Source organism: Homo sapiens, chromosome 22, assembly GCF_000001405.40.
Source record: "Homo sapiens chromosome 22, GRCh38.p14 Primary Assembly".
Lineage (NCBI taxonomy): Eukaryota > Metazoa > Chordata > Mammalia > Primates > Hominidae > Homo > Homo sapiens.
In genome coordinates, this window is record NC_000022.11 from 38,111,114 (window position 1) to 38,126,026 (window position 14,913).

The 14,913-nt window shown below is 55.8% G+C and overlaps 1 protein-coding gene across 9 annotated transcripts in view, besides 3 other annotated features; it reads right to left on the minus strand.

Annotated features, from left to right (window-relative positions):
- PLA2G6 (phospholipase A2 group VI) overlaps nt 382-14,913 on the minus strand; it is a 70,336-nt gene continuing 55,804 nt past the window's right edge. For all 9 annotated transcript variants that reach the window (NM_001349868.2, NM_001349866.2, NM_001199562.3 and 6 more), the window contains 7 exons: nt 11,982-12,145; nt 9,646-9,796; nt 4,962-5,098; nt 4,414-4,568; nt 2,374-2,541; nt 1,391-1,464; nt 382-1,192 (listed from right to left, as the gene is read on the minus strand). In NM_001349868.2, the coding sequence (NP_001336797.1) occupies nt 1,048-1,192; nt 1,391-1,464; nt 2,374-2,541; nt 4,414-4,568; nt 4,962-5,098; nt 9,646-9,796; nt 11,982-12,145 (994 nt within the window). In that variant the 3' untranslated portion in view covers nt 382-1,047. The remainder of the gene's footprint in view (nt 1,193-1,390; nt 1,465-2,373; nt 2,542-4,413; nt 4,569-4,961; nt 5,099-9,645; nt 9,797-11,981; nt 12,146-14,913) is intronic.
- Nucleotides 3,401-4,303: an enhancer, noted in NCBI's record as "H3K27ac-H3K4me1 hESC enhancer chr22:38510521-38511423 (GRCh37/hg19 assembly coordinates)". NCBI's record gives its function as "activates a minimal SCP1, AML or CMV promoter by ChIP-STARR-seq in naive H9 embryonic stem cells {active_cell/tissue: H9 hESC(naive)}" and the evidence as "EXISTENCE:reporter gene assay evidence [ECO:0000049][PMID:30033119]".
- Nucleotides 3,653-3,832: an enhancer, noted in NCBI's record as "active region_18992". NCBI's record gives its function as "activates an Ori minimal core promoter by ATAC-STARR-seq in GM12878 lymphoblastoid cells {active_cell/tissue: GM12878}" and the evidence as "EXISTENCE:reporter gene assay evidence [ECO:0000049][PMID:35858748]".
- Nucleotides 11,489-11,998: an enhancer, noted in NCBI's record as "H3K4me1 hESC enhancer chr22:38518609-38519118 (GRCh37/hg19 assembly coordinates)". NCBI's record gives its function as "activates a minimal SCP1, AML or CMV promoter by ChIP-STARR-seq in naive H9 embryonic stem cells {active_cell/tissue: H9 hESC(naive)}" and the evidence as "EXISTENCE:reporter gene assay evidence [ECO:0000049][PMID:30033119]".

Genomic DNA, 14,913 nt, shown 5'->3' on the forward strand with positions numbered 1-14,913 from the left:
GGAGCAGGAGCAGCACAAACGCTGGAGTTGCCCAGCCCTGGGCAGACCTCGGCCCTGCACACGCGCTGCCTGTCCACGCGGAGTCCCCGGCCTCTCTGGGTGACAAATGGGGCTCTCCCTGGTCCTCCAAGATGAAGTTGAAGATTGTGGCCCTCCTTGGGCCTGCCGGGGGTATGTGGGCCTGGCAGCTGCCTCTGCATACCCTAAGGGCCGGTTTAGGGGAGGCCTAGAGGAAAGAGGAGGTGTCCCTGCCCAGGGATCCTGGAAAACAGAGTGTCCGGGTACAAAGGAAAAGTCCGGTCAAGGCCAAGGGTCAAGGCCGAGGGGAGCCGGGGGTCAGGGGAACAGGTGGATCTCACACCACTGCACACACAACACAGGTGAACTTGAATCCAAATGATTTATTTCAGTTTTGGCTCTTAAGCCACTTCCATTGGGAAGAAGAAACTCCCAGGAGTGACCTTTGAGAGCTGAGGGTTCTCGGGGTGGGGCAGTGTGAGGGGCTGGGCCAGTGTGAGGGGCAAAGTCCAACGGGCATCCCACTCCTGCGGCCTGGGCTTTCCCAGCTGATGGGGTGGGGGACACCCATTTCTTTAGTCCCAGCCCCCAGGGAACGGAGCAGAGGGCAGAGGGAGTGGGCTGCACCCACCAGGAAGCCTGGGAGTGCCCTTGCTGGGGGCTGGGGCAGAGGCAGCCCGGCAGGCCCTCAGGGAGGCTGGGGCTGGGGGCAGGGGTACGGTTGTGCCCGGGTACCCTTAATGTTTGAGCTGATGGGGGAGTCAGTTGTCCTTGACAGTCAGGGAAAGGGGCCAAAGGGGGCTCTAGACTTTCCCAGCCTGGAATGACAGAAAGTGCTGGAAGGCGGGGTTAGTGGGAGACAGGCCTTCAGGACCAGCCTCGGGCAGGCAGCTTGGCATTCTCCCAGGCCTGGTCTATGGACTCAGAGGTGCCTGGGCCCAGATCTGCCCGGGAGGGCAGTGGCTGGGCTTGGCCTGGCAGGGGCTGAATGGACGAGGTCAGCTGGGGCCGGTGAGAGGCTGGGGACCCTCAGGGTGAGAGCAGCAGCTGGATGAGCTTCTGGAACTCCTCGCGGTGCTCATAGATGTAGACCTCGGTCTCCCAGAGGGCGTTGACCAGCACTGTGTCACTGACCTCATCCAGCATGATGTCCGTCCCCAGCTGGGGGTTCAATCTGTTCGGGCCAGGGAGGAGGGGGTCACCCTAGGATGCTCAGGCTGGGCAGGGGACGCCAGCTAGGACCAGGGTGGGCTTGGGGAACAGAGCAGACCCTTGGGGAAGGGAAAGTCCACACTAGGGCTGGGAGGGGAAGGTCGGTGAGTCCGACCACGCCAGGGCACGGGGCCAAGGGCTGGGGCGGCTGAGCCCTCACCTGAAGTACTGGATGCCGACCATCTCGCACCAGGCCCGTGCCCGGTCCACAGCCCGCCCGTCTGGATCCGTGCACTGGTGAGAAGCAGCCTTGGTGAGTGCCGGGCCCACACCCCGCCCGGCCCGCACCCCGCCCGGCCCTGCCCTGCACTCTCGGAGCCCCAGCCTGGGGAGCCCCAGGCTCTTTCGAGTCAGGCTGAGCCACACAGCAGCAGAGCGGCTCGGGCAAAACCCCTTCCTGGGACTGCAGGGACTGTCCCAGCTGTGCAATCAGAGGGGCAGAGGTCTCAGCAGTGCCCTTTCAGGGATGATGAGTGGGGGAAAGGGTAGCGGCTGAGTCGACAGGCCTCCATGTCCCCTCTCCCTGAAGTTTCCCTCCCTCCCTCCTCTCTCTCTCTCTCTCTCTTTCTTTCTTTCTTTTTGAGACAAGGTCTCCTTCTGTTGCTCAGGCTGGAGTGCAGTGGCATGATCACAGCTCACTGCAGCCTCTGCCTCTTGGGCTTAAGCAATCCTCCCACCTCAGCCTCCTGAGTAGCTGGGACCACAGGCACACACCACCATGTCCAGCTAGTTTTTAATTTTTTGGTAGAGACAAAGTCTCATTATATTGCTCAGGCTGGTCTCAAACTGCTGTGCTCAAGTGGTCCGCCTGCCTTGGCCTCCCAAAGTGCTGGGATTACAGGGTGAGCGCCCAGCCCGCTCTGGAGCCTTTGTCCATTCTGGGCTTCTACACTGCGCTATGTTTGCAGAAAGGGATCCGCAGCTAAAAAGCGTTTGAAAACCCCCCTGCTGGTGGTCACTGAGGGTCCCTGCCCCGCACTGAGACTCTGAACTGTGGACTCTCTCTCCCTCCAGCTGGCTAAAGGCGATGGACAGAGCCCTGCTGTCTCCTCCAACACCAAAGGCCCCACAGGATGAGGGGAAGCCATCGACCTGGGCTACAGACCCTGAGGGAAGTGGCCTGGGGGAGGGGCCCACACTCACACAGTCCACCACCATCTTGCCCAGTTCCTTGGCCCCAAAAACAGTCTTGGCCAGCTCCCAGGGGTTGCTGGGACGGAAGACATCCACACAGGTCACAGGCACTTGTGGGGACCTCCCTGTCCCCAGGGAGACAACGATGGAGAGTTTCTTCACCTTGTTGGCCTGACCCTGTTGGGAACAGGACAGGGGCAGTCAGAAGAGACCTTCCACAGGTAGGGGGCACGAAGGGGAGCGTCAAGGGGAGGCCCAAGACTGGGCTCTGGGGCACATGAGAACAGGGCAAGAGGTCTCTGGTGGCAAGAGCATGCCTGGCATGATTTCCAGCCAGCCTCTTGCACGTGACCCCAGAACGGCTGGTGCGGGCATCACATGCCATCTGCTCAGGACAGCATCTGTGTACCAACAGGACCACACATACACCAGCTGCAAGAAGGATCCCGCCCACCCCATCTGATGCTGGCCCAAGTCAAGTCGTGGCCAGGGGAGGAAAGGCAGACGGTGTTCCTTGGTGTTGGTGATTTGCCAGGTATTTGCATCATTACTTCATTTAATCTCCAGCCAGTCTGTGGAGAGGGCACTGATCACCCAGTTTGCAAATGAGGGCTCTCAGCGAAGCTCAGGCCGGGAAGCAGCTGCAGGGGCCACGTGGTAGGGAAGTAGGGGCTAAGGCTTGAACCTGAGCCCTGGGTGCTGCCTTTTTTTTTTTTTTTTTGAGACGGAGTCTCGCTCTGTCTCCCAGTCTGGAGTGCAGTGGCGCGATCTCGGCTCACTGCAAGCTCCGCCTCCTGGGTTCACACCATTCTCCTGCCTCAGCATCCCGAGTAGCTGGGACTACAGGCTCCTGCCACTATGCCCGCCTGGCTAATTTTTTTGTATTTTTAGTAGAGACAGGGTTTCACCGTGTTAGCCAGGATGGTCTCGATCTCCTGACCTCATGATCCACTTGCCTCGGCCTCCCAAAGTGCTGGGATTACAGGCGTGAGCCGCTGCGCCCGGCCGCTGCCTCTCTTATTTGCTTCCGAACAAGCTCTGCTGCCGATTTGCTGGATGATCTTGGGTGATGCCTCCCACTCTGGGTCCCAGGCTCCCCATCCGCACGCAATAGGAGAGTTAGACTGGCTAGTGTCTGACAGTCTGACGGTCTCTGCCGCCTGCAGGAAGCCCGCCCTGCCCGATCTGGCCCCTAGAGGGCGCTTCTCTGTCTGCCCAGAGCCTCTGCTGCGCTGCCCAGGACGCCCTGGGGCTTCGGGAAACCACAGCAGCAAGGATGCAGCTCAGGCTCCCGGCAGTGCTGTGAACATTTCACAGACAACAGCATGCCAAGGCCTCGCAGCCTCCCCAGGCAGGCGCTATGATGGCCCCATTAGGTAGCTGCAGTGAGTGCAGGCAGAACGGGGACCCCCAGAGGCGCCCTGGCTCCAGGGTCTGAGCTCAGCCACCGCGCTCGCCCACCCCGGTCACCCACCGCCCGCCACGCCACAGGGCCTCCCCTAGCATGCTGGGTCCTGCCAGCCTCTGCTGTACCTCTGCAGAGAGAGGGCTGCTGCTCTTCCTCCAGATCACTGATTCTGCACTGCTCTGTCCCCAAGGGCCTCAGGATGGGTCCCCTGTTCCATGGAGCCCTTTCCGAGCCCCCAGGCCTTTTAGCAGAGGCCTCACGGTCCTCCACCACAGCACCGGCAACCCGTGGGGACAGGCATTCCTGTGGGACTGTCTATCCACAGAGGTGAGCTCAAGGGCAAGCATGTGTCCTGTCCCCAGGCTGGCTCGAGTGGCACGTTCATGGTATGCATGCCGCCCTCCCCACTCATGCACACTTAGAGCACAGTGGTCCTCAGATCCCCCTTAGCACAGTGCTTCAGGCAGATCCCACCCATGGAACAGGTTCCAGTGAGATCAATTTGCCCTGTGTGCACATATGAATGAGTGCGTGTGTAAAAGCCACCTGCTGTCCTGGGGGTCGGTCCCTAGCATGGTTTGCTGACACAGGATTGGCTCCAGGGAGCAGTGGGTCCAGGCCCTCTGGCCTACGGCACTCACCTTGCGGATCAGGTCCTGATTGTACTCATGGATCTCGGTCATGGCATCCAGCGTGGGGTTGTTGGCCAGCAGCCCACCGTCCAGGAAGCGCCCATTGGGTCGGAAGTAAGTAGGAGCTGCCCCGCTGCTTCGGGCCGCCCGCCACACCAGCTGGTCTAGGGGCGGGGAAGGAGGGCGGCCCAGTGGCACAAGGGACTGGCATAAAACCCATGCACTCCAGATCTCAGGGTGTGCGTGTTGGGGGCTGGGGGTGCGGGAAGAGGGGAGGCTGGGAACTCTTCAGAAGCAGGACCCACGAAGCCACACTCTCTGGCTAGTTCGTCCTGGTGGAAGGCAGGTACAGCTGAGGACTTTCCAGGGACTTTTCTAACCTGCCAGGGGCCTGACAGCTCCCCCGCAATCCCTGTCCTCAGCCAATAAAGACCAGTGCAGCGGGTGGGCTGGTGGCACGGTGAGGGTGCCTGATGGCAAGTGCACGACTCCCACCCACCACCCCACAGCCTCTCGGGCCAGTCGCTTCCCATGGATGCATCAAACATGGTTTAAACCTGAGGGCTGAGCTGGAGGCCTGAGGTTAACGTTCTGGTTGAAACGAGGCTCCCGGACAGTTTCTGGAGCATCGTAGTTCCGGAAGAGGTGGAGTTCAGCCGGCTGCCGGTCAGACAGTGTCCCTGTCAGCATCACCCTGGAGAGAAATGAGGCAGGAGGACGGCTGAGCCACCCGCCCATCCACCTTTCCCTTTCCCCACAATTCACACCCCAGGGCCTTGGGTAGCAGAGTGCCCACTCCAACCTCTGTTCGGGATAGGTGGGCTTCTCCCCGCACCATCCCCGCAAAACAGGCTCTCTCCGGCAGTGCTGGAGGAGTGTCAGATTGGTCCAACCTTGGGGGCACAATTCAGCAAAAGTTGGTTTTTTTGAAAGGCTAATCCAATGGAAAAACCTGTTGCAAGACTGATAAAACATGGCTGTTATCTGTTATCAAAATCAGGAAAGAAAAGGGGGCCGCACCAACACACACTGCAGACGTTAGAAAAAGGAGAATCGGCTGGGCATGGTGGCTCATGTCTGTAATCCCAGCACTTTGGGAGGCCGAGGCAGGTGGATCACCTGAGGTCAGGAGTTCGAGACCAGCCTGGCCAACATGGGGAAACCCCGTCTCTACTAATAATACAAAAATTAGGTGTGGTTGCGCATGCCTGTAATCCCAGCTACTTGGGAGGCTGAAGCAAGAGAATTGCTTGAACCCAGGAGGCAGAGGTTGCAGTGAGCCGAGATCACGTCATTGCACTCCAGCCTGGGCGATAAGAGTGAAACTCCGTCTCAAAAAAAAAAAAAAAAAAAAAAAAACAGAATATTTTGAACAACTCTAAGCCAATAAGCTTAAAGATTTAGATGAAATGGACACATTCCTAGAAAAACCTCACTTAACCAAAACTAACTCAAAAAGGTATTTAGAAACCCCGAGTGGTCAGTCTCACAACCACTATAGAAATTAATTCCATCATCAAAAATCCTCCCACCAAGCAAACTCCAGGCCTAGAAGAATTTACTATCAAGTTCTACCATAAATTCAAAATAAACTATTATACTAACTCTTCCAAGAAAAATAAAAAGAGGAAATATTTCCTCAAAACCCAAAATAGGAAAAAACGGGTCAAGTTCGCCCACGAGCGTGGACACAAAAATCTTTTTTTTGAGACGGAGTCTCACTCTGTTGCCCAGGCTGTAGTACAGTGGCGCAATCTCGGCTCACTGCAAGATCTGCCTCCCGGGTTCACGCCATTCTCCTGCCTCAGCCTCTCTGAGTAGCTGGGACTACAGGCGCCCGCCACCACGCCCGGCTAATTTTTTGTATTTTTAGTAGAGATGGGGTTTCACTGTGGTCTTGATCTCCTGACCTCATGATCCGCCCACCTCGGCCTCCCAAAGTGCTGGGATTACAAGCGTGAGCCACTGCGCCTGGCCAAAAATCTTAAACAAAATATGATCAAACTGAACCCATCAGAATTCTCTCTAGAGAAGGCACCAGTAAGAGAGAGTAGGCCTCAAACAGGTATTTGCACATCCGACATTGACAGCAGTCAATTTACAACTAAAATATCCATCAATGGATGAATGGAGAAGCAAAACGTGTATCCAACAGACAATGGAGTTTTTCAGCCTTAAAAAGGAAGGAAATTCTGACACACGCTACAACATGGATGCCAAGTGAAATAAGCCAGTCATGGCCGGGCACGGTGGCTCACCCCTGTAATCCCAGCACTTTGGGAGGCCGAGGTGGGTGGATCACGAGGTTAGGAGTTTGAGACTGGCCTGGCCAACATGGTGAAACCCTGTCTCTACTAAAATACAAAAAATTAGCCGGGCATGGTGGTGCACGCCTATAATCCCAGCTACTCCGGAGGCTGAGGCAGGAGAATCACTTGAACCTGGGAAGCAGAAATTGCAGTGAGCCGAGATCGCGCCACTGCACTCCAGCCTGGGTGATAGAGCAAGACTCCATCTCAAAAAAAAAAAAAAAGAAAGAAATAAGCCAGTCACAAAAAGACAAATACTGTATGATTCCACTTACATAAGGTACGGTCAAAGATAAAATTGCAACAAATTTAAAGATGTTAATTGGCTTTTATTGATGAACTGAGAGTCAGGCAGGCCACAAAACCAGAATAGGTTCAAAGAACTCTGGCCTGCAACGTGGTCAGGCAGTGTTGATGGGCTGAAAACCAAAGTGAGGTGTGGAGCTTAATTGGTTTGCCTTGTTTGAATCAGGTGGCCATCTATGATTGATTAAAGCTTAGCTGTTGTAGCTAACCAGAACTCAGCTATTTGTTACATGGGTATACGCCTAAGCTAACTAGGTTCACTTGGCATGAATGACTCCATATTCGTTTCTTCTGTTGGGCCTGGTACAGAATCCTGGTCCAAATCAATTATCCCCTAAAAATTTTACTTAACAGTACCTGGAGCAGTTAAACTCATAGGAAGAGAAAGTAAAATGGTGGTTACTATTTTGAGCATTTCTGAATGATCTTTTCATATTTTGAAAATGAGTCCTTTGATGGATGTATGGATTCGAAATCTTTTCTCCCACTCTGTGGCTTGTCTTTTTACTCCCTTTATGGTGTTTTTGTTTTATTTATTTATTTGGATGGACCCATGTTCTTAATGGAGTAGAATTTATAAATATTTTTTCTTTTTATAGTTTGTGAGTTTGTTTGTTTTTGTTTTTTTTTTTTTGTCTTAAGACAGGGTCTCACTCTATTGCCCAGGCTGGAGTGCAGTGATGGGATCACAGCCCACTGTAGCCTCAGCCTCCGGGGCTCAAGTGATCCTCCCACCTCAGCCTCTCAATTAGCTGGGACTACAGCCATAGTGCCACCATGCCCAGCTAATTGTTAGTTTTAAATTTTTTGTAGAGATGAGGGTCTCACTATGTTGCCCAGGCTGGTCTCGACCTCCTGGCCTCAAGTGATCCTCCTGCCTCAGCCTCCCAAAGAGCTGGGATTACAGGCTTGAGCCACCATGCCTGGCATATTCCTATTTTTGAGAAGAGGTAGAAACTTCAGGGTCTATGCTTGTATCCACTTCTCTCTACTGCCCCCAAGAATAGCCATGATGTTTTTGAAGAAGGCCAAGGTGGAGGATCTGCCACCCAGACACCAGGACTCACCACACAGCGGTAGTTTTTTATGCTCTGTGGTCCGGGCACAGAGACAGCTTTCCAACCAGTGGAACAAAACACAGCCTGGAGCAGATCCAAGAGCAGAGGGATGCTTGACCCACTGCTGAGGAAGCGGAGGGAAGGACAGACTTCACAGATGGGGCTGGGAAAAATTGGCCAATCACGTGGAAAACATTAAATTGGATCTTGGATTTCACCCTCATACAAAAATCAATTCCAGGTTGATAAAAGACCTCAATGTAAAAGGCAGATCTAGAGAGCTTTCCAGCTCGACACAGGAGAATCGTGTGCTGCTTGGGGGCAGCAAAGGGGTTTATGAACGAGAAATAAAAAGCACAAACTAGGCTGGGCATGGTGGCTGATGCCTGTAATGGGAAACCAAGGCGGGAGGATCGCCTCAGCTCAGGAGTTCAAGACTAGCCTGGACAACATGGTGAAACCCCATCTCTACAAAAAATACATGTGTTGGCACATGCTAGTAGTCCCAGGCACTCAGGCGGCTGAGATGGGAGGACTGCTTGAACCCAGGAGGTCGAGGCTGCAGTAAGCCGTGTTCACAGCAATATACTCCAGCATGGGCCCCACAGCAAGACCCTGTTTCAAAAAAAAGAAAGAAAGAAAGGAAAAAATCACAAACTACAAGAAGAAAAATATTTATAAATATTATCTACCTCATTAAGAACATGGGCCACCAAAACCAAAACCAAAACAAAAAACAAAAAACAAAAACCTAGAAACACCACAGAGCAGAAAGACAAGCCACAGAGTGGGAAAAAAGATTGAAGGTCCCTGGCCTTGGACCCTAGGGAAGACCGCAGAGGGGATGCCGGGCCCCTAAGACTGGGGGACACTCACTTTCAAAATATGAAAAAATCACTCAGAAATGCTCAAAACACTCCTCTTGGAACACACCATTCATCCAGCCCCGAACGGGATGCATTGCTTAGTCCTAGGATTTGGGCTTCCCAAACAAATGTTTCCTGGAAATGTGACTTTCTCCTTCAGTCTGACTTAAATTAGTTCAAGTCTTGTAGGCCTTAAATTAAAGGTAAGACTGAAGCCCTCTGATTATAACCTAGTAGTCCGATCCTGGGAGCGAGTGCTGTCTGAAATGTGAGAAAATGTTTAGCCGTGTCATTTGAAAGGCCAGTGGGTTCCTTTTGCCTGGGCAGCAAAAACCCAGCCTCTGCCCAGGTGGTCTCAGAGAAGGGTGGCCCAGGCTCTCTCCAGGCAAGCCCCAGACCCCTGGCCGGGCAGGGCAGAGCCAGGCAGGGCAGAGCCGGCAGGGCAGAGCCGGGCAGGGCAGAGCCAGGCAGGGCAGAGCCAGGCCCACCAGGCCACGCCCCTCCTGCGCTCAGCAGGTGTCTGCATGCCCAAGTGAGAGCCACACCCCAGCCCTCTGCCTCCCTGGGAAGGGGGTTCCCTCTGCTCCCCTCAAGCGTGGGGCGCTCTTCCCCCTCCCTCAGCAGGACAGGGAGCCCTCTGTCCCCAGGGAACAGCCACAGTGGGCACAGCTGCGGCCACGGCCCCAGTGCGCCAGGGCTTACTTGGGTTTCCTGACGTCCGTCATCTTGGTGTGCTCCCCAAACTCCCGCTTCAGGAACTCCTCCAGGGGCCCCGACTCGTAGGGCCTGGAGCCCCGGAACACCTCATCCTTCATGCGAAAGTACATGCCGCGCATGTAGGCCATGGACTTACCTAGGAACAAAGGGGTCAGAGGCGGGGAGATGCAGCGGCCACACGCAGGGCTCCCGTAGAACAGCCTGCAGAGCGCCTGAACGCAGGAGGTGGCAGGAGGAAGCGGGTTTACCGAGGCCTAAGCAAACCCAAATTCTGGGCCCTTCCTTTGCAACCTCCCAGACAGACAGAGAGAAACCTCCTTCCGGCTGGACATGGTGGCTCGCGCCTGTAATCCCAGCACTTTGGGAGGCTGAGGCAGGTGGATCACTTGAGGTCAGGAGTTTGAGACCAGCCTGCCCAACATGGTGAAACCCCGTCTATTAAAAATACAAAAATTCGCCAGGTGTGGTGGCGGGCGCCTGTAGTCCCAGCTACTCGGGAGGCTGAGAGGCAGGAGAATCGCTTGAACCCGGGAGCGGAGGTTGCAGTGAGCCAAGATGCACCACTGCACTCCAGCCTGGGCAACGGAGAGACTCAAAAACCACTGAAGCCCCACGGCTCTGCACTTCATCTTGTATTCATGATTTTGTATTATTTTCCTTAAAGAAGAGCCCCTCAAGAGTAAAAGCTTATAAAAGCTAGACCCACGTTGTTTGTCACAGAAAACAAGGAATAGCCCTGTCCTTTGAGCCTTCAGAACAGACAGGGCCAAGGGGCCGGCTGCACCTCCAGGAAGGAGAAGCTGCCCCACTTCCCCCGTGAGGCAGTGAGTTCCCCAGGGCCAGGGATGTACAAGCAGAGGGTAGCTGAAAGGAGGCCATCTGCCCACACCGGAGGATCAGCCAGGAGACCTCTCAAATCCCCTCCATGGCCCCTGGGAGTCTCAAGACCCCGGATGGGGAAGAAATGGTCCCTGAAGAAGGACGTGGCCCTTTTGGAGAAGAAGCTAGGACTCTGCCCAGTCTGCCTGCTCAGACCTCGTGCCCGCCCTTGGACCCTGTGGAAGACCAGAGAGGGGATGCTGGGACCCTGAGGCTGGGGTAGAGAGCTGGGCACACTGCTGGAGACCCAGTCCTGACTGCCCAATTCACTGGCTGATCCTCTCTGGTTCTCAGTTTCCCCATCTGCTCACCCCGCAGGGCTATGGTGAGAATCATCAAAAGGAAATGAAATACCAGTCAATAAACCGCCGTGGACACTAACGTCCCGGCAACTTGACAGATGACTCTCCTCCTCCGCCCATGGGACTCTGTCCCCAGCACCTCCTGGACTGGCTGAGCCCCCTGCTCCTGAGGCTGGGGTATGCCTGGCTCAGCTCTGCATCCCCAGCATCCAACACAGGCCTGGCCCACAGGCCCTGATACCCACCCTAGGGTGGGGAGTCCTCCCCGGGCACCTCCAAGACTTTGCATGACCAGGATCCAGATGTGGGGGCGCTCTGGAGAAAATGGAATCTGACCAGCACAGGGGCAGGGGCACCAGTCAGACATGTTGAGTCCCAGGACAATGTCCAGGGGGTTGGGGGGAGCTGAGGACCCTGATCTGGCAGTGCCCCTCCCCACCTGTCAGCACCTAGAAGCTCAGACAGCTCCACAGAGGAGCCGTCACAACACTGACCACCCGGCTATCTGTCCAGCAAGCCAGGCGCCTTCGCAAAGCGGCAGTGAAAGGAGACTACACAGTGCCCTGTGGCCTAGGAGGTGCCAGGCTGGGAGTCTAGGGGACTGTGCTCCAGCCCAGCGACCCCATGGATGAGCTATGTGACTTCACGTCATCCCTCCCCACCTGGGAACTTAATTTCCCAGTAAAATTTCCCAGTAAAATGAAGTGTGCAGGCGAGGGCTCTGGCATCCTGAGGCTCAGTGGCTCCTCATTCCTGAGACTGCCTGCTGCGTGCACCCTGGGAATGGGATTCCTTATGTGCAGCAGGCTGTGTGGCCCCTGGTGCCTGCTTTGCAGGGGTGAGGGGAGGAGGGGTTAAGGCAGTCGATAGGAAACGCTTCCTATGCCAAAATTTCACACAGCCAGCTCTACCCTCTGTGGCCAGAGGGCGGGGGATCCCCAAACCCAAGCCCATGGGCCCAGCCCTTCTCCTTCCAGCCTGGGACCTCAGCACCTGCAGCCCCGCCCCTGCCTCCTCAAAGTGCTTATAGCCCTCCTCTACTCCTCCACTCTCTTTTTGCAAAGCCCTGAAGACAAACTCGGCCCCTTGAGGACACAGGTCTCAGCCCCGCCTGGCCCCATCCCCAGGGGCCGCCCTCACTGTGCAGAATGGCCAGGGCCAGGATGCCTCCAGTGCTGGTGCCCGCCACCCAGTCAAACAGGTCCTTGGTGGCCACACCCGAGGCCTTCTCGATGGCGATGAGGAGCTGGATGATGATGAGGCCTTTCACTCCTCCTCCATCCAGGCACAGCAGGTGGTCGTGGCTGCAGTGGGAACAGCAGTGGGAGAGAGGAGGGTCCTGCCACAGCCCAGTACTTTACATCCACCCTCATAGCCCTTGTCCCCTGCAGCTGTGTCCTGGCAGACAGACCCAGACGGACCCGAGGAACTTCTGTCCTATGCAGGACAGCGAGGGTGGGGGTGAGGGCAGTAAAGGAACAAATGTCTAGTATTTCAGGGGCTGGAGAGTGCAACAGAGAAAGGGAAAGGAAGGTCGGGGGATAGCATCACTGACCAGGCGCCATCCCAGCAGGATCTCGGCCAGTCTCCCCAACTTGGGACACCTGATTTTGGTCAGTATCAGGCCTGATCCAAAGCAGGTGCCTGATAAAGTCTGTTGGAATTAAATAAGGCTGGGGAAGGAGGGGCGGGGACCCTACAGCCAGGCCAGGAATGGGCAGTGACAGAGTATCAGGGCCTCCACACAAGGTGGAAGAAGCAGGGGAGGAGGGGGCAGGGAGGAAGGGAGAGGTTCATGCCAGGGGCTATGGGAGGGGTGCTACCAGCATTAGCTCATGTCATTGTCCCAAACGCCTCTGAGGCAGACCCTCCCTGACATCCCTGTGCTTATTTATTTAGAGACGGAGTTTCACTCTTGTTGCCCAGGCTGGAGTGCAATAACGCGATCTCGGCTCACCGCAACCTCTGCCTCCCGGGTTCAAACGATTCTCCTGCCTCAACCTCCCGAGTAGCTGGGATCACAGGTGCCCGCCACCACACCCAGCTAATTTTGTATTTTTAATAGAGACGGGGTTTCTCCATGTTGGCCAGGCTGGTCTTGAACTCCCGACCTCATGTGATCCGCCTGTCTCGGCCTCCCAAAGTGCTGGGATTACAGGCACGAGCCACCGTGCCCAGCCTTATTTATTTATTTATTTATTTATAGAGACAGGGTCTCACTCTGTCACCCAGGCTGGTGTGTGGTGGTGCAATCACAGTTCACGGCAGCCTCAACCTTCTGAGCTCAAGTGATCCTCCCGAGTAGCTGGGACTACAGGCAGGAGCCACTGCGCCTACTCTCTGTGCATATTTTTGAGTGACGGAGGGAGTGTAGCTCAGAGGTTAGGTGACGGGAACCAAGTCATATGGATGCGGACTGGACCTGGACCCAGGTCTGCCGCCTCCTGAGTCACATGCTCTCCAGCGCGCCCTGACACGTCTCCCCACATCCTGCCTGTCCTCATTGGCCATGCCCTGGGGGAATGCCTTTGTGGTTGGTTCAGTCTGGAACCTTCCTCTGATCTTCTCATCTTCCCATCTCAGCTTGATGAAGCTGAGAGAAGCCTGCCCTGATGCCATCGAGACCCTCCCTCACAGCCCGCCTGCTGCTCCACCTGCTTCCTGGTGGAGGCTGCTTCCATTCCATTCGCAATCTTTCTTTTACTCTCTCCTGCGCTGACCTGGAAGCTCCACCAGGGCAGAAGCCGCCTCTGCTCTGGGCAGCGCTGTGTGTCAAGGGGATGCAGGAGGTGCCCAAGAGGGCTGATAAATGGAGGAGGCCCGGGTCCCACCTCTAGGGGTCTTTTCCTGGACCAGGTACCCAGCCCCACAGCAAGCCTAGAGGTGGCAGGGGAGAGACTACACTGTTGCTGGAGGCCAAAGCAAACTCCCGAAGATGCGGGGCTGGCGACAGAGATCAACCCAGAGGGCGCAGGGCTCTGTAGCTTGGAAGGCCCAAGTGGGGAGCTACCGAGGGGTCTCCTGACTCTTGCCTCAGCCCCGCTCCAGGCAGGGTTCTGAGGCTCCAGAATCTGGGGAATCTGCTTTTCCTCCCTTGGGAAATGTGGGTCCCCCCTTCAGGTGCAGCTGCCTCACCTCAGCCCCTGCACAGGTGTGTGTATGTACATGCATGTGTGTACATGTGTGTGCATGTGTGTGGGTGTCCATGTGCATGCATGCATGTGTATGTGTGCGCATGTGTATGTGTGTGCATGCACGTGTGTTTGCATGTGTGCATGTGTGTGCGTGTCCATGTGTTTGCATGTGGGCAACACATGCATGTGGGCAACCCGCAGGCATGTGCATGTGGGTGTGTGTGCGTGCATGTGTGCGTGTGTGTGTGCGTGTGCCCGCGTGCAAGAGCATGCAGGGGGCACAGGGGAGGGAATGCTGATGGGGCAGGGGAACCTCCAGGGCACACAACAGGGTAGCATGGAAGTGAGTGCGAAGTGAGAGGACCCACAGAGCTGCACGATCACTGCCTGGCCCTGGGAGTGGAGCTGCCTCTGATTCTGAGAAGAGAGCTTTCCCTGCAGAGGGCTGGCACTAGGTATAGAGTCCACAGAGAACCCAGAGAGAGCCTGCGGTAGCACAAAGGACGTGGGTTCGGAAGACCCGGCTGTGAGTTGCCACCCTGACACTCACTCCGTGTGACCTTGAGCAAGTCACTTCACCTCTCAGGGGCTCAGGTTCTGCATCTGTAAAACAAGGTTACAAATTCCTCCCTGGGAAGGCTATTAGGAACATGAGAGACTAATAAAGAATAAATGAATCAACTGCAGCAATCAAGGGAGGTGGCGACAGCACAGTGGCTGGAAACGCATTTGTCCTGGTACCTTGCCGTGCCAGCTGGCACTGAGTTCAAGCACCCGGGATTATGCCTGAAGGGCAAGGCCTGGGCGTCTTCTCTTTGCATCCTGTCACCCAGGCCCGCCTCTTACAATGGGACTAGGTATACAGCAGGTGCTGGGGAAGGCAGCCCACGCCACTATTCTGCAGTGGGAGGTGGTTAAGGAAGCCAGTAGGAGCAGTG